We start from the raw sequence: 17,446 nt of genomic DNA on the forward strand, positions 1-17,446 counted from the left end.
ATTAAAAACAAAACAGAAAACTTTGTACTCCTATGCTGATCATTATGTGGGCAGGTTCACACCCATTATTGTATTAAATTCTCTGAACAACACTGTGAAGTAAATATTATTATCTCTAATTTATAGTTAAGGAAACTAGAGCTTAGGGAGATTAAGCAGTTGCCCAAAGTAGCATATTTAAGAAGTGGCAAACATGACAATCAGACCTGGGTCTTCTTACTCTTAACTAAGCCTTCCTTTCATCCATTATGATAAGACAATGGAAGGTTGGAGATATGTATATTTAATGCAGCCTCCAGGGATACTGCATGTTTCAGAAAATTTATCAATAGAATTTCATTTTATATTTCCAAGCTCTAATGTGAAAAGAAAGAAGGATTCTCATCTGTTTGGATAGTTTAAATGGAGTTTTGTTTGAAGCTGTGAGACTGGTGAGGTTTTTGGTTATTGATTTTATACACTTGAGTTTTCCTGAAATTTGGGTACTTATATTTAAAAATTAAATTTTACTTTGCAATATTCACAAACTTAAAGAAGAGTTGCAAGTACAATTCAAAGAAATTTTTTTCCTTTTAAAATATTTGGAAATAAGTTACCAGTCTGATGGCTTAGGATCCCTGAATACTTAGTGAGTATTTCCTACAAGCAAGGATATTCTCCTATATAACCATAACGCAACCATCAAAATCAGGAAGTTAACATCTATACAATATGATTATTTAATTCTCAAACCCCATTCAAGTTTCACCAACAGCCTCATAACGTTTTTTCAGTCCTGAAAGACTCCTGCTTAGAATCATTGTGCTTAGTTGTCATGTCTCTTCAGTCTCCTGTAGCATGAAACAGTTTCTCAGTCCTTGACTATTTTCATGACCTTGACACTTTGGAAGATCATGAGCAGCTATTTTGTAGAACACCTCACAGTGTGAGTTTATCCGATGTGTCTTCATGATACTTTTCCAGTTATGCATCTTGGGCAGGGATAGTGCAGAAGCGGCACTGTTCTCGTTGCCTCCCATCGCAGGGTGTGGAATCCCAGTTCGTCCCATTACTGATGATGCTCACTACACTCACTTCCTAAGGTGACATCTGCCAGGCTTATCCACTGGAAAGTTACACTCTTTTTCCCCGTTGTGATTTTGTAGGGAGGTAATTTTGAAATAATGCAGACTGTTCTCCACCACACTTTCACTTTTGAAGTTGTTTGTCAGCATGGACTTGTGGTTTCCTATTTTGTCCGTGAGTTATAATCCATTGCGATCATGATCTATTTTGATGTTTAAAGTGTGCCAGATTCGGCCAGTGGGAGTCCTTCCAATCCGGCCTCTGTGTCCTTTTGACATGTCCCCATCATTCTGTGAGTCCCTCCTCATTCTCTGGCACAAGATGCTCCAGGCTCATCTTGTTCTTTCCCTGCCCTACTCTTGGAATCAGCCATTTCTCCAAGGAACCCTGGTTCCTTTTAGTTCAAAATGTTATTTGAAAGCTAAGATTTGGGTGCTAGATGTGCTCATTGCTTTCAGGGTGTTGCTGTTCTCAGGTCCTTGGTGTGGACAGAGTCAGCAAATAAACAACACACACACACACGCACACACACAGAGGCTTACATTTATATCTATAGTTCTTTCTATACTTTCTTTCTACATATGTACTGAAAATAGTAAGTTCACACACGTAGTTCCAATTCCAGACTAACACCATACAATTCATTCTAGTTTTCTCCTTTTCCATATTTATAACTCCCTTGTCCCACTGTGTAAAACCTAGCTTCCATTATCCTTAATAGATTTACTTATTTATTTATTTATTTTTTTGAGACAGGGTCTTACTCTGTCACCCAGGTCTGAGTGCAGTGGCACCATCAGGGCTCACTGCAGCCTCAACCTCCCAGGCTTAGGTGATTCTCCCATCTCGGCCTCCTGAGTAGCTGGGATGACAGGCACGTGCCACAACACACTGAAAATTTTTTGTAGAGATGGGGTTTTGCCATGTTGCCCAGGCTGTTCTTGAACTCCTGGATTCAAGCAATCTACCCACCTCGGCCTCTCAAAGTGCTGGGATTACAGGCATGAGCCACCTCGCCCAGTCATATTTATGAGTTGATTCCCCTGAAGGTAACCTATCTTCCCTTTCTGCCACTACCCCCATCTGCACGCAAGTCGTCTTCCCCTATCTCAGGCTCTGACACCCATCCCCACACATGTATGTTTGCCTCACCTTTCTTAGGCTTTAACTTCCTCTCTTTTATTTTTATTTTTTTTTTATACAGATAGGATCTCACTATGATGCCAAGCCTGATCTTGAACTCCTGGCCTCAAGTGATCCTCCCGCCTCAGCCTCTTACCACACTGAGATTACAAGCATGAGCCACCAGGCCTGGCCAACTCCCTCTCTTTGGGCCATTCCTCCCTCATATGGACATCTTTCTCACCCTGCTTAGGCACTGACACCCCACCCCAGAATGTGCCCTATACAAACTCCCTCCTGACCCTGCTAGAAACATAGCACCATGTGCCAGGTGTCCCCTCTGTAGGCTCAGGCTCTGACACCCTGCTGTTAACCACCATGGCTTTTCCATGCCAAACATAGACATGGCTTTGTCCTAACTAATAGTTTAGGACTGAATTTTTCAGAAAGAAAAGGGAAGAAAAAGGAAAGGAAGGAAAGAGGAAGAGGATAGAGAAGGAGAAAAAAGCAAGTGCTTACCATTTCAGTTAAAAAATAAGGCAATTTGTCAATCATATCTCAATAAAGCTGATGAATTAAAAATCATCTTTTATCTCCTAGGAGCTTTTATCCAGGCTAAAAGAATATTTTTTAAAGGAGAATATATTTAGGGCTGGGTGTGGTGTGGCCCACACCTGTAATTCCAGCACTTTGGGAGGCTGAGGCAAGAGAATTTCTTGAGGCTAGGAGTTCGAGACCAGCCTGGGCAACATAGTGAGATCCTGTCTGTACAAAAATTAAAAAAAATTAGCCAGGCATTGTGGCATGCCCCTTTAGTCCCAGCTATTTGGGAGGCTAAGGCAGGAGGATTGCTTGAGCCCAGGAGGTCAAGGTTACCATGAGCCATGATCTCACCAGTCCCCTCCAGCTTGAGTGACAGAGTGAAACCCTGTCTCAAAAAGAGAAATAAAAATAAATAAATAAGTAAAAAAGAGAATATATTTTGTGAATGAAGCAGGCAATAATCAGAACCAATCTTGACTGTATGGATATCTTTGATTAGAACCAGGCATCTTTTGCCACCAGCTTGTATGGTCCTTTCTTTACCACAGAGCCTGCAAGGCAAATAACTACATTTCTCAGATTTCCTTGCAGTTGGAGTTTTGGAAGCAAATTAGATTCCACCAATGAGATGAACTCCCAGGAGCCTTGGAAGTTGGAAGTGAGATGGAAGCCATGGTCCTGTTGTCATTGCTGCTGGCAAGTGAGGTTATAAACATATGCGTGTCTGTGGACTGACACAAATTTATGGCGTGTCATGCAGTCACTGGCTTTTTGAGTGTGAGAGGCATCAGTTGTTTAAGTCAGTAGCAGCAGCAGCAACGGTGTTCTGATCTCTGATCTTGGCTTTGGAGGTGTGCACTGAACCAGCAGTCCTCTAGAATGGGTCCTCTAACCTTCCAAGGATTATATAAACACCTCATTTTCTGTATTAAATGTCCTTTGTTTAAAATACTGAGAGGGGCTTCTGCTTCCTGCGCTGATTCCTAACTGCTACCCTGATTGTATATAAAGGAGGATTAGATAATAGGCAATGGATATTAACTTCTGGAAGGGTGTCACCGCATTTTATTTACATTAGAACTTGTTTTGTACTTATTATGGGTAATGTGCTTAACTAGATGCAAAGATATTAATAACAGCATCAAACACACACATCCTGGTCTCAAGGAATTTTCAGACTAGAAGAAGGAAGTAGAGTAAAAAAAAAACAATAAGCAATTAGGTCTAAAATAAGACAGATGAAGATAAGTGTTGTAAATGAGATATAAATAGAACATTCCTCACATGTCACTGAGTAAGGTCTAAACTCCATTCCATGGCATTAAAGGTCTCCCAGCTAGTCCACCTCTTCAGCATCATTTGTTGCTACTCATCCCTGGGTCAATCACACCTGATGTCCAGCCATACAAATCTCCTTGCCATATCTTACATTCCACTTTCCCTTTTAGACTTGGAATGCCTGGAGAACTCACATCCACTCTCCAGGACCAAACTTCAATGTCAACTGCTATATAAAGGAATCATGCAGAGTTAAGCTCTCCCTCTTGGACTTCCAATTAACTGGAGAAACCAGGTGCCTGTTGAAAGGATATCTGTCTCCTTTCTTTTATTTATTTATTTTTTTTGAGACAGAGTCTCTGTCACTCAGGCTGGAGTGCAGTGGCACGATCTCGGCTCACTGCAACCTCTGCCTCCTGGGTTCAAGTGATTCTCCTGCCTCAGCCTCCCAGGTAGCTGGGAATACAGGATGGGCCACCACATCTGGCTAATTTTTATATTTTTAGTAGAGACTGGTTTCACCACTTTGGCCAGGCTGGTCTCGAACTCCTGACCTCAGGTGATCTGCCCGCCTCAGCCCCCCAGAGTGCTGGGATTACAGGCGTGAGCCACCGTGCCTGGCCTCTCCTTTCTTTAAAATTGTTGCTTGCTGGTCCTTTTAGAGAATGTGGCTTCTGAAAGGAGAAATTATACTATTAAAAGCCACTCCCCCTTTTTCCCAGGGGACTGCTTTATTGTTGTAAAGTAGTTAAATAAAGCAAAACTTTCAAAGACTGATCCTTTATTTAAAAATATTATATATATATGCACAGACTCATATATGCACACATTATCATATATGTAATTCTAATTCCTGATAGTTTCTGCCTACACATGGGGTTTTTCCCTTGGGGCCCAAGTTCTCAATGAACTGCCAGAACAACTGTCAAGATGAGCTTTGGACACACATAGAAGGAATTGTGCAGCAGCATATCTTTTTGTAAAGATGGATCCCTTTCTGTATTCTAAATTAATTCATATATTGTATACTCCTGCCACTTATTTGGGGTCATGGGGGTGCTTAGCATTGCCAATGTTATTATGACACATTCGTGGAATGCTGTATGTTTGAAAAATAGTTTACAATGGTTTGTTAATAAGCATAAGCTGAGAACATTTCAGGAATGGTTGATTCACTTTGTAAAGCACTGGCAGCAACATATAATATTTATGGGATTGCAAAATCTCATTAAATGAACAAATTTCCATTTTTCCTACTTGGATTCAGCCATCATTTATTGAGTGCTGACTAAATTGTATGCACTGCACTAGAATTTGACTGAATGAATGAATGCCCATTAAACAACTACCATGCCAGCCATTGGGTAAGTATTCCATTGAGTGAATGAAAACACCTATTAAGGACCTTCTATGGACTCAGGTATAAGGCTAGATTTGAACTAATTGGATAGGATCCTATTGTGCATCTCGAATATGCCAGACACTGCACGAACATTCCATTAAATGAATAAATATTTATTAGGCAATTACTATGTGTGAATCATTAAGCCAGACACTTTAATATACATGATCCTGCTTAATCCTCTCTACTGTAATGGAGAGGAGCAAGTATTACTATTTCCATTTTATACATGAGGAAACAGAGGCAAAGAGGCTGAGATTCACACCCAGAGTGCAGAGAAACTGAAATTTGAACACATGTCTCCTAACTCTGTAGCCAGTGCTCTTTCTATTATGCAATCATGGTTCTCCGTGTTTGTAGAACCAAACCTAATTTTATAGCATTAAAACAAATGAGAACTGATGGTACATTGAATATCACCATGTGGAAATGTATTTCTGTAATATTCTCAAGGCAAGAAGAAAACTTGACCTCACTTGTTAAAGATTAGTCATTGGAGCAGTTAAAATTCCTGTGTTCTTGAGCCCTGGCCTCTCTTTTGTGAGAAGGTTGTAGACAATCGGTTGAGTTAGCTCTCAGGGCTGTGGAGATAATTCCCACTGTGGTCGCTAAAACTCAAGTAACATTTCTCATCCAAATAAGAGACAACAAGAATGGCACTGCTTGAAGAAGGCCAGACAATTGTTCTCTTGAATTACATCCTAGTTTTTAGGCCATGTCTTATGCATTCAGTTAATTAGTCTGCAAAGGCTCACTGAATGCCTAGTGCATGCCAGGCACTGTGCAAGTGCAGGATGTGCAATGAGACTTGGCCAATTTTTAGCTGTGTGGCCTTGGGCAAGTTCTTTAATATCTCAGTCTCAGATTCCCATCCAGAAAGAGGCCAGGTGTTTATGGAGGGTATTATTATTCTTCCTTTTCTTAAACTCTTAATATTCAATTTCTTAGGCTACAAAATAAGTTTAATGTTACATGCTGCCATCTATCTATCTATCTATCTATCTATCTATCTATCTATCTATCTATCAGCATCGTCATTTATCATCTCTATATCTATCTATCATATGTCATCTATATATTTCATCTATATAAACATTTAAACAATATTTTTTTCTGGCTCATTATTTTTCTTAATTCCACAAGCCTACAAAGTAGGCATCTTTGCAGTGAGCTATACTCATGCCAGTGCGCTCCAGCCTGGGCAAGAGTAAGACACTGTCTCTATCAAACAAACAAACACCCCAAACCGGACAAAACAACAACAACAAATAAAACAAAGTAGGCATTCTTACCCAATTTTACAGATGAGGAAATCAAGGCCCTGAGAGATTAAGTAACCTTTTAAAGTCACATGGCTAATAAAATGGCAGAACCAGGATTTAATCTCAGGTGTGTCTGGCTTCAGAGGCTTGCTCTCTCCTCCATAATGTGTTGGGTTTGCAGAGACACTGACAGTAAAATATGTGAAATACTCCTGCAGAAATTGATTCTAACAATGAAATGGCAGAGGAGGATCCAAGGTAGGATTAGCCCATCCAGTTAGTTTACTCTCAGTTTGCTCTGAAAGTGATCTTTAGATATTTGAAACAGAAGAAAGTCAGTCTCCTCCAGTAATGACTAAAGAAAAACTGTGCACATTGGCAAAATGGCTGGTATCCTTGCAAACATTCCTCCTGGCTCAAGCTGCAGGAATGGCACAGAGCCCTGGAGCATAGGAAGAGCAGGTGTGGCTTCCAGGGGTACCACTAGTTCTTTCTGCTTCAGTGTAGCTTCCTTTTGAAGCCTTGGTTTCTTTCATCTATAAAATAAGAGATGATAATTTGCTCAGTGATTGCCATGGGGGTTAAATAAGAAACACAGATGAATGCATTTGGATGAGGCACATTTAAATGAAGTTTAACTCACTATGGAGTGAGTCTGTGTATTAGGCATTCTCTGAGTACTGGGTACAGTGATAAATAATGTCGGGATGGTCTTTCGGAGAAAAAGATGTGATAATGGCAGTGTGGACAGGCTGTGGAGAAGGGAGTCATTATCTGGTGTTTGGCTGGATAGTTTAATATGGGGAAGCCTTCAAGGGATATATTTCAAGTTAATGGGATGGGAAGAGGGGAGGGGGAGAAGCAGTTCTTCTGCCTGGGTGGGGTGGGGGGGATGATATAACTGCATCAATCTTCCCTGATGCTGCAGCTGTCCGGAGATCTTTGCCTTTGGCCTTGTTCTTGGCAGAAAGTTCGGCAGTAAGTGGTGCTGTGGAAAATATCTCTGTGGTTAATGAATCAATTCATTAAAAGCACTTAAAACAATGAGAAAAACCCTTTGCTGGTTTGTTTCCATCAAGAATGGGCATCACATGTTGCCTCATCACATCTTTCAACCCAGTGACCCAGGTCTCCTCCTCGTTGCTAGAATCACAGTCTTCACATTTCTCAGGATGCGTCCGGAACTTGGTGACCCTTACGGATGTACTATGTGTTATCACTAGGGTGGTGAATCATGCCAGATGTAGATTTTACCCCCGCTGTTCTCCAGGGAGTACTATGATAGAGAGTTCTTAGAATCCTAAGGCTATTGCATCATAGCTGTGGGATTTGGGGCATATTTTCTTAATAACTTGTATAGGAAGTATACAAGTATAGGAGTATATGGACTCAGTTTTCATGCCTATGAAAATTGTGAAATATGACCTACCTCAAAGAGCTTCTATGAAGAATCAATGAAATACTGTGTAAATGCTTGGGATAAAGTAGATTCTAAGTAAATGTTTTCCTCCAACTTTCCTTTTTCTGCATCAGAGGTCAACAAACTATGGCCGACTGGTCAAATCTGACCACCTACCAGTTTTTGCAAATGAAGTTTTATTGGAACATAGCCACACCCATTCATCTCTGTATCCTCTATGGCTGCTTTTGTGTACAATGGCAGAGTGTACGGCTGTGACAGAGACCAGATGAGTCATCTGTCCACAAAGCCAAAAATATTTACTGTATCATCCTTTACAGGATATCTTTGCCAACCCCTGTTCTACATAGTAGCCTTATCTCTGTGTCCTTTTCCTTCCAAAATTTCTCTTTATCAGACTAAATGCCACTGGTGACTTAGGCCACCACTCCTATGTCAAAGTGTTTAGTCCCTCTGGTTGTTGTCCGAATGCAATCCTATTGATTGCAAGTCCTTGGCCGGGCGCAGTGGCTCACGCCTGTGATACTAGCACTTTGGGAGGCCAAGGCGGGAGGATCATGAGGTCAGGAGATCGAGACCATCCTGGCTAACACGGTGAAACTTCATCTCTACTAAAAAAAAAATACAAAAAATACAAAAAATTAGCTGGCATGGTGGCGGGCACCTGTAGTCCCAGCTACTCAGGAGGCTGAGGCAGGAGAATGGCGTGAACCCTGGAGGCGGAGCTTGCAGTGAGCCGAGATCACGCCACTGCACTCCAGCGTAGGCGACAGAGTGAGACTCCGTCTCAAACAACAACAACAACAAAACACACACACACACAAAAAACAAAAACAAGTCCTTTGAGCATGACTCCAGGTACTGGGCAAACTTCAATCCAATCCTGCTGGCTTTGGTCTGACCAAATCTGAGAAGGTGTCTGTAGGTATCACCAGATTACCAAAGAAGTTCATGTACAGATATGCATGCTTTTCATGATGGTAGCAGCTCATTCTCAAAAGCCTCAGGAGTCACAGATCACTCCTTTGCCCAGACAAATCTCCAAAGAGGCAAAGAAAGTTTTTGAGTTCTTCTCTTCTGTCAGACTAAGATAAGATATGTTTGTCAATTGGGTTCTCTGAGAAGCAGCTTATGAGAGGAAGTTAGAAATATAAGCAGTTTATTGGGGAGAGCAATGTCACTTGCGTTAAATAACAAGCACGAGAAGCAGAATTGGGCAAGGAAAGCCTTCAGACCATGACAAGGAGAACCTCAGACCTCAATTCAGGTCTCCCAAAGTCTCTGCCAACCCAAATGAGAGCTCCAGAACAATGACTGCCTGCTAAAGGAGTCCCATATTAGGCAGAAATGGCCAGGCATGAGGACTAGCCATTGGCTAGAGGATGCTCAGGAGGAAGGTGGTCCTGGCTTGAAAGCTGAGTACATCCTGAAGGTGTTATGGCAAGACACTATCAGCTACCTTATCTCATGCAGCACAATGGCAAGTTCTTTCTCTAAGAGAGATCTGAGCAGTGCACCTGGTCCATGTCTGCCCCAACTCGAAAAGGCCAGCACAATCCTGGAGTAACATGCAACATAGCCAGAGACAAAAAAGCATGTCTCTGGGAGAATTGTGTATCTGGTTTTATTTGCACAGGGCACCAAAATCTTGATTTTCATAGTCAGGTAGAGTCTTTCCAAGCTGGGAATCTTGGAATCTTTTTTTTTTTTTTTTTTTTTTTTGAGAGGGAGTCTTGCTCTGTTGCCCAGGCTGGAGTGTAATGGCACGATCTCAGCTCACTGCAACCTCCGCCTCCCGGGTTCAAGCAAGTCTCCTGCCTCAGCCTCCCAAGTAGCTGGGATTACAGGCATGCACCACCATGCGCGGCTAATTTTTGTATTTTTTTAGTAGAGCTGGGGTTTCACCATATTGGCCAGGCTGATCTGGAACTCCTGACCTCAGGTGATCCGTCTACCTCAGCCTCCCAAAGTGTTGGGATTTCAGGTGTGAGCCACTGCGCCCAGCTTGGGAATCTTTTATACTAGTATCTAGAGTAGTTCTTTGACTTAGGACTTTAGGAAGGTGACTGGAGGATTTGTTGATAATGATTGGGAGACTGAGTCCATACTCTGTAATGATAATGATAATAACGAGGATGATATTAAGGAGGATGATAGAGTTTCTACATGAATATAGAGTCAAGGAATTACAAGGACTACCTATTAGGCACTGATGTTAGAATCTCTCTCCTCTGCCCTTCGGTAGCTGGAGCTTACCCAGTGTGGGAGTCAGCTCTGATCCCACTGCGACTCTTCTCCCAGGAGTTCTCTGCTATGCTCCATGCCATCTTATCATAGGCAGTGGATACCAAGGCACATACTTCTTGCTTCAGAGTCTATCACTCATCATAGACAATACGTAGTCTTTTCTTAGGAACTTACTCAAAGGAGATGCTGAAAATGCTTCATCTTTATCACTTGATTTCTGTGGATGCTGAATTTTGCCTCTAATGTGCCTTCTAAAGTGCTGCCTGTGTCCACTGCTTGCAATGACAATGAAGGTGGGAGCTGCCTTTTTCTAATCAAACATACTGGGCTACACTCATGCTGGAAAAATATGTCCTGCTTCAGGGTGGCCATTCTTTGTTGTAAGTCTAGAAAGAGCATCTGAGTCCTGATTGGCAGGAATAATCACTGTCTGTTGAGAATACCTTTGTAGCTCCACTATATTTCCTGTGTAAAGTATTTAACATCCCCTGACATCAGGATTTAAAATTAATTTAGGGCTACGATGGAGCCTTCTTAGAATCCTAAGGCAATTATATTGCATCATAGCTGTGGGATATGGGACATATTTTCTTAATAACTTGTATAGGAAATATACAAGTATAGGAGTATATTGACTCAGTTTTCATGCCTATGAAAATTGTGAAATATGACCTACCTCAAAGAGCTTCTATGATGAATCAATGAAATACTGTGGAAATACTTGGCATAAAGTAGATTCTAAGCAAATGGTAATTGATATGTAATAATTTTCTTAGGTAACTTGATATGCATTAATTTTCTTTCTCTGCTTTTCCTCCTGGGTTGAGTTTATTTGCCATGCATTTGGGAGATAGTTCCTTCTGTCCCTCACTGAAATGGCTGGATTGAAATATTGGACTTCTAAACGGATTTGTGCAAATATTGTCTTCCCAGGATGGCCCTTCAGTCTTTCAAACTCAGGTCCTTTGGCAAGGTCCTTGGCAGCAATGAAAGTGTCCTCCTGGGCATGGGCAGTCATCCCCATGAATGGTGAGCCAAACAGTCAGAGGAAGGCGGTGCTCATGCCAGGAAGATCAGGCACTTGCCAGCTTCTCCTTGGCCCAGCACTGCATGCCCTGAGATGATGTATAGCCACACAGTTAGGAGAGATCTTGACTCTGAGATCCTCAGCACTTCCCTCTCCACCTCTTTGAAGATCTGAGCTGAAAACAACACTTGGCCCCCAACACTAATAACACCCATCTCTCTCTGTTTGAGAATCTCTAATTAGCTAGGCACTTCCCATGTATTATGTCATTTAACAACACTCTGAGGTAAGGGTGCTTATTCCCATGTTAGAAATGGGGAAACGGAGGCTCAGGAGTTCCTTGCCATTGGTCAAACAGTTGGTAAGTGGTAGGCCTGGGATGTGAACACAGGTGTGTCCTTTCCCCTACACGCAGTTCCCATAATAGAGAGTGATCCAGGAAGTAATGAAGCCAATTGCATCCCGTGTGAGGGAAGAGCATCTGCTGAACAGATGCCCGGATATACTGGCCGAGTGCCATGAGGACATAGCTTTTTCTTGGCGATGAGGGCAATATCAAGAGACTGCTCCATGGCAGAAATGCTTTTACCATGAGTCACCCCATTACTCCATTTGGAGAGTTTATAGCTAAGGAGCTACAGCAATTCACCTGTGTCTCCTACATGTTTAAGCCCCAGCAATCCAGAAGAGCAATTCTATTAAGCAATATCCTCCCAGCAACGTATGGAGAGTATAAGAAATCATGTGACTTATGTTAATCAGCACTCAGGTCAAATTCAGCTGTTTATGGGATCATGTAGACTGATTTACCAACATCTCCAGATAATGTTTGTTTTTTTTTTTTTTAATCTAAGAGCTACACCATTAATTTCTTCTCCTCATTCACTTTCAAGTTTGAAATCCAAACTCCTGATAAAGGCATCTCCCAGTTGTCCATGATCTGGCCCTTGCCTGCCTTTGTCTCGATGTTTTCTCTTAACTGTTATTTCTTACAATTCATGCTCCAGTTGTACCGGCATCCTGGGAGTTCCAGAAATGGCCGTGCTGACCCAGGTCTTTGCCCTTTTGATCCTTTTCCTTAAAAAGCCCTTCCTCACTTTGTCTCCTTGCCTAGTCCTTGAATATCTTCCAAGTCTCAGCTCTAAGACTTGCTTCCCTGACATCTTTAGTCAGGTTTAGGTCCTCCTGCCTTCTCTTGTCCTCTCATAGCATCTTGTAAAATATATAAATTGGTGCAAAAGTAATTGTGGTTTTTGCCAAATGAATGGCAAAAACTGCACTTACTTTTGCACCAATCTAATACGAATGGATCCATATCCATTTGCTGGAGTCACCTGCTCTCTCCTTCCTCTTCCACATGAGTCTGTATGACCCTCATGGGAGAGAAATGTGTCTTATTATTCTTTGAACACCTAGTGGTTGTCAGATAGCATGACTCACAGTCAGTGTTCAGGAAACCTTTGAGACATTAACCACAAGGCATGCTGAAATCTCACTCACAGGCTGCGGGGAAAGAGAAGAAGTGGAAGCAGGTAGAACTGGAGGGAGGAACCCACCAGCCTTTCTGATTGGCCCTGACCACGGGACACACAGTGGCCCCCAGGATCAGTATCAAACTGGGTAAAATGCAAGTAAAATGAAAACTGGTAAATACAAGCTCGATGCAAGCTGTCAGCACTTCCAAGGAGAATGCTTTGTCCAGATTCAGGGGTCTCAGGTTTTAGTTGGGGGATAAGCAGTCAGGGCATGATGTGGGGTGTGGGGATCTCTTTTTCCTGCAACAGAAATATATCAGGGCTTCACAGGAGAGCGGGCACCAATGTACAGGACTCCTTTCATTAATTACATTTAAATTAACTTAATGTTAGATTAAATTTATTAAAATTTTTGAGATAATTGTAGATTCATATACAGTTGTAAGAAATAGGACAGAGAGATCCTTAAAGTGGGCATCATACAGAGAGGGAAGTATCCTTGATCTCTGTTTACCCATGAGAAAAGGACCATTTGCCCAACCATTTAGCAGGCTCACTAAGCGGAGCCAGTGCTGGACCTTGTGCTGGTGAAAGACATCTAGAATCTGACTGGATCTAGTCACTCTGCCTCTAAGGACTTACAGTCTAGGGAGATTGGCCAATGAAGTAACAATTACAGTGTTAAATGCCACAGTGGAGAGACCCTGTGTGTGTGAAAAGCATCAAGAGTGATGGATGTGGATTCTGTTGGGTTGTAATGATGGCGGTCGGATGGTGCATTAGGTTGGTGTCATGGGATGAGGGGCTGTTCAAGCGTCAGTCTTGAGCCTTGATGACACATCCTCCAGTTGGAGAAGGGAGGCTATGAATTCCGTGATGAGAATAGCATCAGCAAAGATACCAGGTCACTTCACAGCCTGGAGGGTGTCAAGGTGGGCGAGCCATTTGTCCTGATTGAAGGCAGTGTTCTGGTGGAGGAGTAGAGGGAGGGAGGCTGAGGCAGTTGGCAAGGGAGACTGGGGGGTCTGGTTGCATTGCTCAGGCATAATCCTGTGGGTAACTGGAGTGAGCTGCAGCCCTACAGGATTTCCTTTCTTTTTTTTTTTTTTTTTTTTTTTTTTTTGAGATGACGTTTTGCTCTTGTTGCCCAGACTGGAGAGCAATGGCGTGATCTCAGCTCACTGCAACCTCCACCTCCCATTTCAAGCAATTCTTCTGCCTCAGCCTCCTGAGTAGTTGGGATTACAGGTGCCTGCCACTACGCCCAGCTAATTTTTGTATTTTTAGTAGAGATGGGGTTTTGCCATGTTGGCAGGCTAGTCTTGAACTCCTGACATCAGGTGATCCTCCCGCCTCGGCCTCCCAAAGTGCTGGGATTACAGGCGTGAGCCACTGCGCCCAAGCCTACAGGATTTTTTAAATGGGAGTTGCTTGGTGAGGTTTGGATTTTGAAAATTTACTTTTGTCAAAGAAGCCCTTCACGTATGAAGGTCTATAGTCTCCCCTTGGATGGAGAATAAGGAGCTGCTCACGGCCTCAGCTCTGCAATCTTCCTGCGCATCCTTACTCTCAACCTCAATCCTACCTCACACAACTCTACAGATTACAATCCAGGCCGTGTGCGGTGGCTCACGCCTGTAATCCCAGCACTTTGGGAGGCTGAGGTGGGTGAATCACCTGAGGTCAGGAGTTTGAGACCAGCCTGGCCAACATGGCCAAACCTCAACTCTACTAAAAATACAAAATTACTCTGGGAGGCTGAGGTGGGTGGATCACGAGGTCAAGAGATCGAGACCATCCTGGCCAACAGGTGAAACTCTGTCTCTACTAAAAATACAAAAATTAACTGGGCATGGCGGTGTGTGCTTGTAGTCCCAGCTACTCTGGAGGCTGAGGCAGGAGAATCGTTTGAACCCGGGAGACAGAGGTTGCAGTGAGCTGAGATGGTGCCACTGCACTCCAGCCTGGCAACAGAGGGAGACTCCGTCTCAAAATAAAATAAAATAAAATAAAATAATAAAAATTTAGCCAGGCATGGTGGCAGACACCTCTAATCCCAGCTACTCGGGAGGCTGAGGCAGGAGAATCGCTTGAACTCAGGAGGCAGAGGTTGCAGTGAGCTGAGATCAAGCCACTGCACTCCAGCCTGGGTGACAGAGCAAGACTCCGTCTCAAAAACGAAAACAAAAACAAAAGCAAAAAAAAAAAGATTATAATCCAAACTGTCTACGAAGAGCCCCCAGTTGCTTCACCAAAGTAAGGTCCATGCCTCTCTTTGTGGTAAGTAAAAGTGCCTGTTTACTGTCTCTCTGGCAGTGGGATCTGTTGTAGGAGCAGACTGAGTTGGATGTAGGGAGAGAGATGAACTTGTAAAGCCCCTCAGTCTGGAATTCCATGCTTCATCTTGGAAGCTGTAGGCTTTGCTTCCTGTGTGGTCTCAGGCTCATCCTCCCATCTCAGTTTCCCCATCTGGAAAAATGGGAGAACAATATTTACCTTCTTGGGGTGCCTCAAGAATTATTAGTCATGGGGGAAGGATTTGGAGAAGGCAGACAAAAAGCCTTCTCCAGTGTTCTGCAGTCTCCAGACCTGACTGCCGCAGTGTGGGCAGATAAGACAAGCTGGTGAGAAGGAGACAAAAACATGTGTGTTGTGAACTAGCTCTGTCTTTGCTCTTTCTCCTTCCTTGGGGTCAGAGATTTGCTTGTGCTCCAGCCTAGCAGAGGTCATTTTTCCAGGAAAGCATCTTCTTTCATCTGGCTAGTAAGTTTTCTCACCTGTAAAATGGAGCTCTGTGGTCCATTCCTCATGGGGCAGTTTGAGAATAGCGCTTGGCACATATACGTGTTCAATAAATGTTCGAGACTTGAAAAGAAAAAAAAGGTCTTAAGCATCGGAGGCCTTTCAGATGCATAGAATTCATCAAATTCTCCAGAGGCTGCAAGGAAAGAACCAAGAATGTAGGATTCAGAGCTAGAGTGGTGTGGGTTCAAATCGTGTGCTCATTATTTACTTGTGAGGCTTCAGGCAACTTCCTTAAAGAGCTGTAATTTTCTCATCTGACACATGGAGATTTGACCCTCTATCTTATCAGATACCCCTTCTACTTGAGAAGGTAAAGTATGATCACAAATATAAAGTGACCAGCACATGGTGAGGGCCTCAGCACCGAGTAGGTGATAATTTCTTTTGTTTTGGCTTCTGCTGCTTGTATTCCCACACCAAACACCACTCCATGCTGGAGACAGATGACCTGCCCAGCCAGGCCAGGGGGGACACAGGCTCTCATCCACATGACACAAAGTACAAAGCCTTGGCTTTGCCTTCTCTCCGGATGGTCAGGCAGCTGTTTGGAGAGACAATCAAAGGTTTGCAGCTGCAGCTTTGGGCCACAAACAGACGGCATCATGCAGCCCTGTTGGGGGCAAGTGCCTTTGGGAACAGGAAAGTCACTCCTTGGGGGACCTTCTTCTAATGTCTAAAGGCCATTTCCGACTTTTGAAAAACAACTCATTCTGCTCTCTAACTGCAAAGAAATTGGATACCATAGTCCCAAATACAATCTTATTGACCACTTCTCTTTTATAGATTATTTTTTTAGGGACAAAAACAATGGAAATTCACCAGCATCACTAAGAAATGATGAGAGTTCCATAGTCTTTAGGGTAAGGTGCAGCCAAGACCCCCAAAAGTCAAGCCCTGTGTCTCGGCTACACGAAAAACTGGCAATCCTTGTGGAGCCGGAAAGGTGGCTGAATTTAGGGAGAAGCCAAGTAGTAAGCCATTCACTCATTCATTCATTTAGTAATTCCTTCACTCGTGCATTCATTGAACTAATACTCACTGAACACTTGCTGGGTCCTCGGCTTTATATTGCTGCTGGAGATATAAAGGCCCAGTGCTGGAGATTTAAGGGCCCAGCCCTGGAGATGTGAAGGCCCAGTGCTGGAGATGTGAAGGACCCAGCGCTGGAGACGTGAAGGGCCCAGCGCTGGAGATGTGAAGGGCCCAGCGCTGGAGTTGTGAAGGGCCCAGCGCTGGAGATATAAAGGCCCAGTGCTGGAGATTTAAGGGCCCAGCCCTGGAGATGTAAAGGCCCAGCTCTGGAGATGTAAAGGCCCGGCGCTGGAGATGTAAAGGCCCGGCGCTGGAGATGAAAGGGCCCGGCGCTGGAGATGTTAAGGGCCCGGCGCTGGAGATGTTAAGGGCCCGGCGCTGGAGATGTTAAGGGCCCGGCGCTGGAGATGTTAAGGGCCCGGCGCTGGAGATGAAAGGGCCCGGCGCTGGAGATGTTAAGGGCCCGGCGCTGGAGATGAAAGGGCCCGGCGCTGGAGATGAAAGGGCCCGGCGCTGGAGATGTAAGGGCCCGGCGCTGGAGATGTAAGGGCCCGGCGCTGGAGATGAAAGAGCCCGGCGCTGGAGATGTTAAGGGCCCGGCGCTGGAGATGTAAGGGCCCGGCGCTGGAGATGAAAGGGCCCGGCGCTGGAGATGTTAAGGGCCCGGCGCTGGAGATGAAAGGGCCCAGCGCTGGAGATGAAAGGGCCCAGCTCTGGAGATGTAAGGGCCCAGCACTGGAGATGTAAAGGCCCAGTGCTGGACAAGTA

General features: G+C 43.8%; 1 long non-coding RNA gene across 2 annotated transcripts, besides 2 other annotated features; it reads right to left on the bottom strand.

Moving 5' to 3' along the window:
• Positions 291 to 460: an enhancer, noted in NCBI's record as "experimental_104360 CRE fragment used in MPRA reporter constructs". NCBI's record gives its function as "activates a minimal promoter by MPRAs in K562 erythroleukemia cells, with activity observed for both the introgressed and non-introgressed 9:110462449 variant alleles {active_cell/tissue: K562}" and the evidence as "EXISTENCE:reporter gene assay evidence [ECO:0000049][PMID:34662402]".
• Positions 4,578 to 4,747: an enhancer, noted in NCBI's record as "experimental_104366 CRE fragment used in MPRA reporter constructs". NCBI's record gives its function as "activates a minimal promoter by MPRAs in K562 erythroleukemia cells, with activity observed for both the introgressed and non-introgressed 9:110466736 variant alleles {active_cell/tissue: K562}" and the evidence as "EXISTENCE:reporter gene assay evidence [ECO:0000049][PMID:34662402]".
• Positions 4,597 to 17,015, bottom strand: LOC105376207 (uncharacterized). 2 transcript variants are annotated; one of them, XR_930225.3, is made up of 4 exons: positions 16,686 to 17,015; positions 15,619 to 15,779; positions 6,703 to 7,208; positions 4,597 to 4,682 (listed from the first exon to the last, which is right to left on the bottom strand). It is a non-coding gene; the product is annotated as an uncharacterized LOC105376207 (long non-coding RNA). The 2 variants fall into 2 exon arrangements; XR_930226.3 differs by lacking the exons at positions 4,597 to 4,682; positions 6,703 to 7,208 and adding an exon at positions 15,180 to 15,310.
• Between the last annotated feature and the right edge of the window lie 431 nt (positions 17,016 to 17,446).

This window comes from Homo sapiens, chromosome 9 (assembly GCF_000001405.40).
Source record: "Homo sapiens chromosome 9, GRCh38.p14 Primary Assembly".
NCBI lineage: Eukaryota > Metazoa > Chordata > Mammalia > Primates > Hominidae > Homo > Homo sapiens.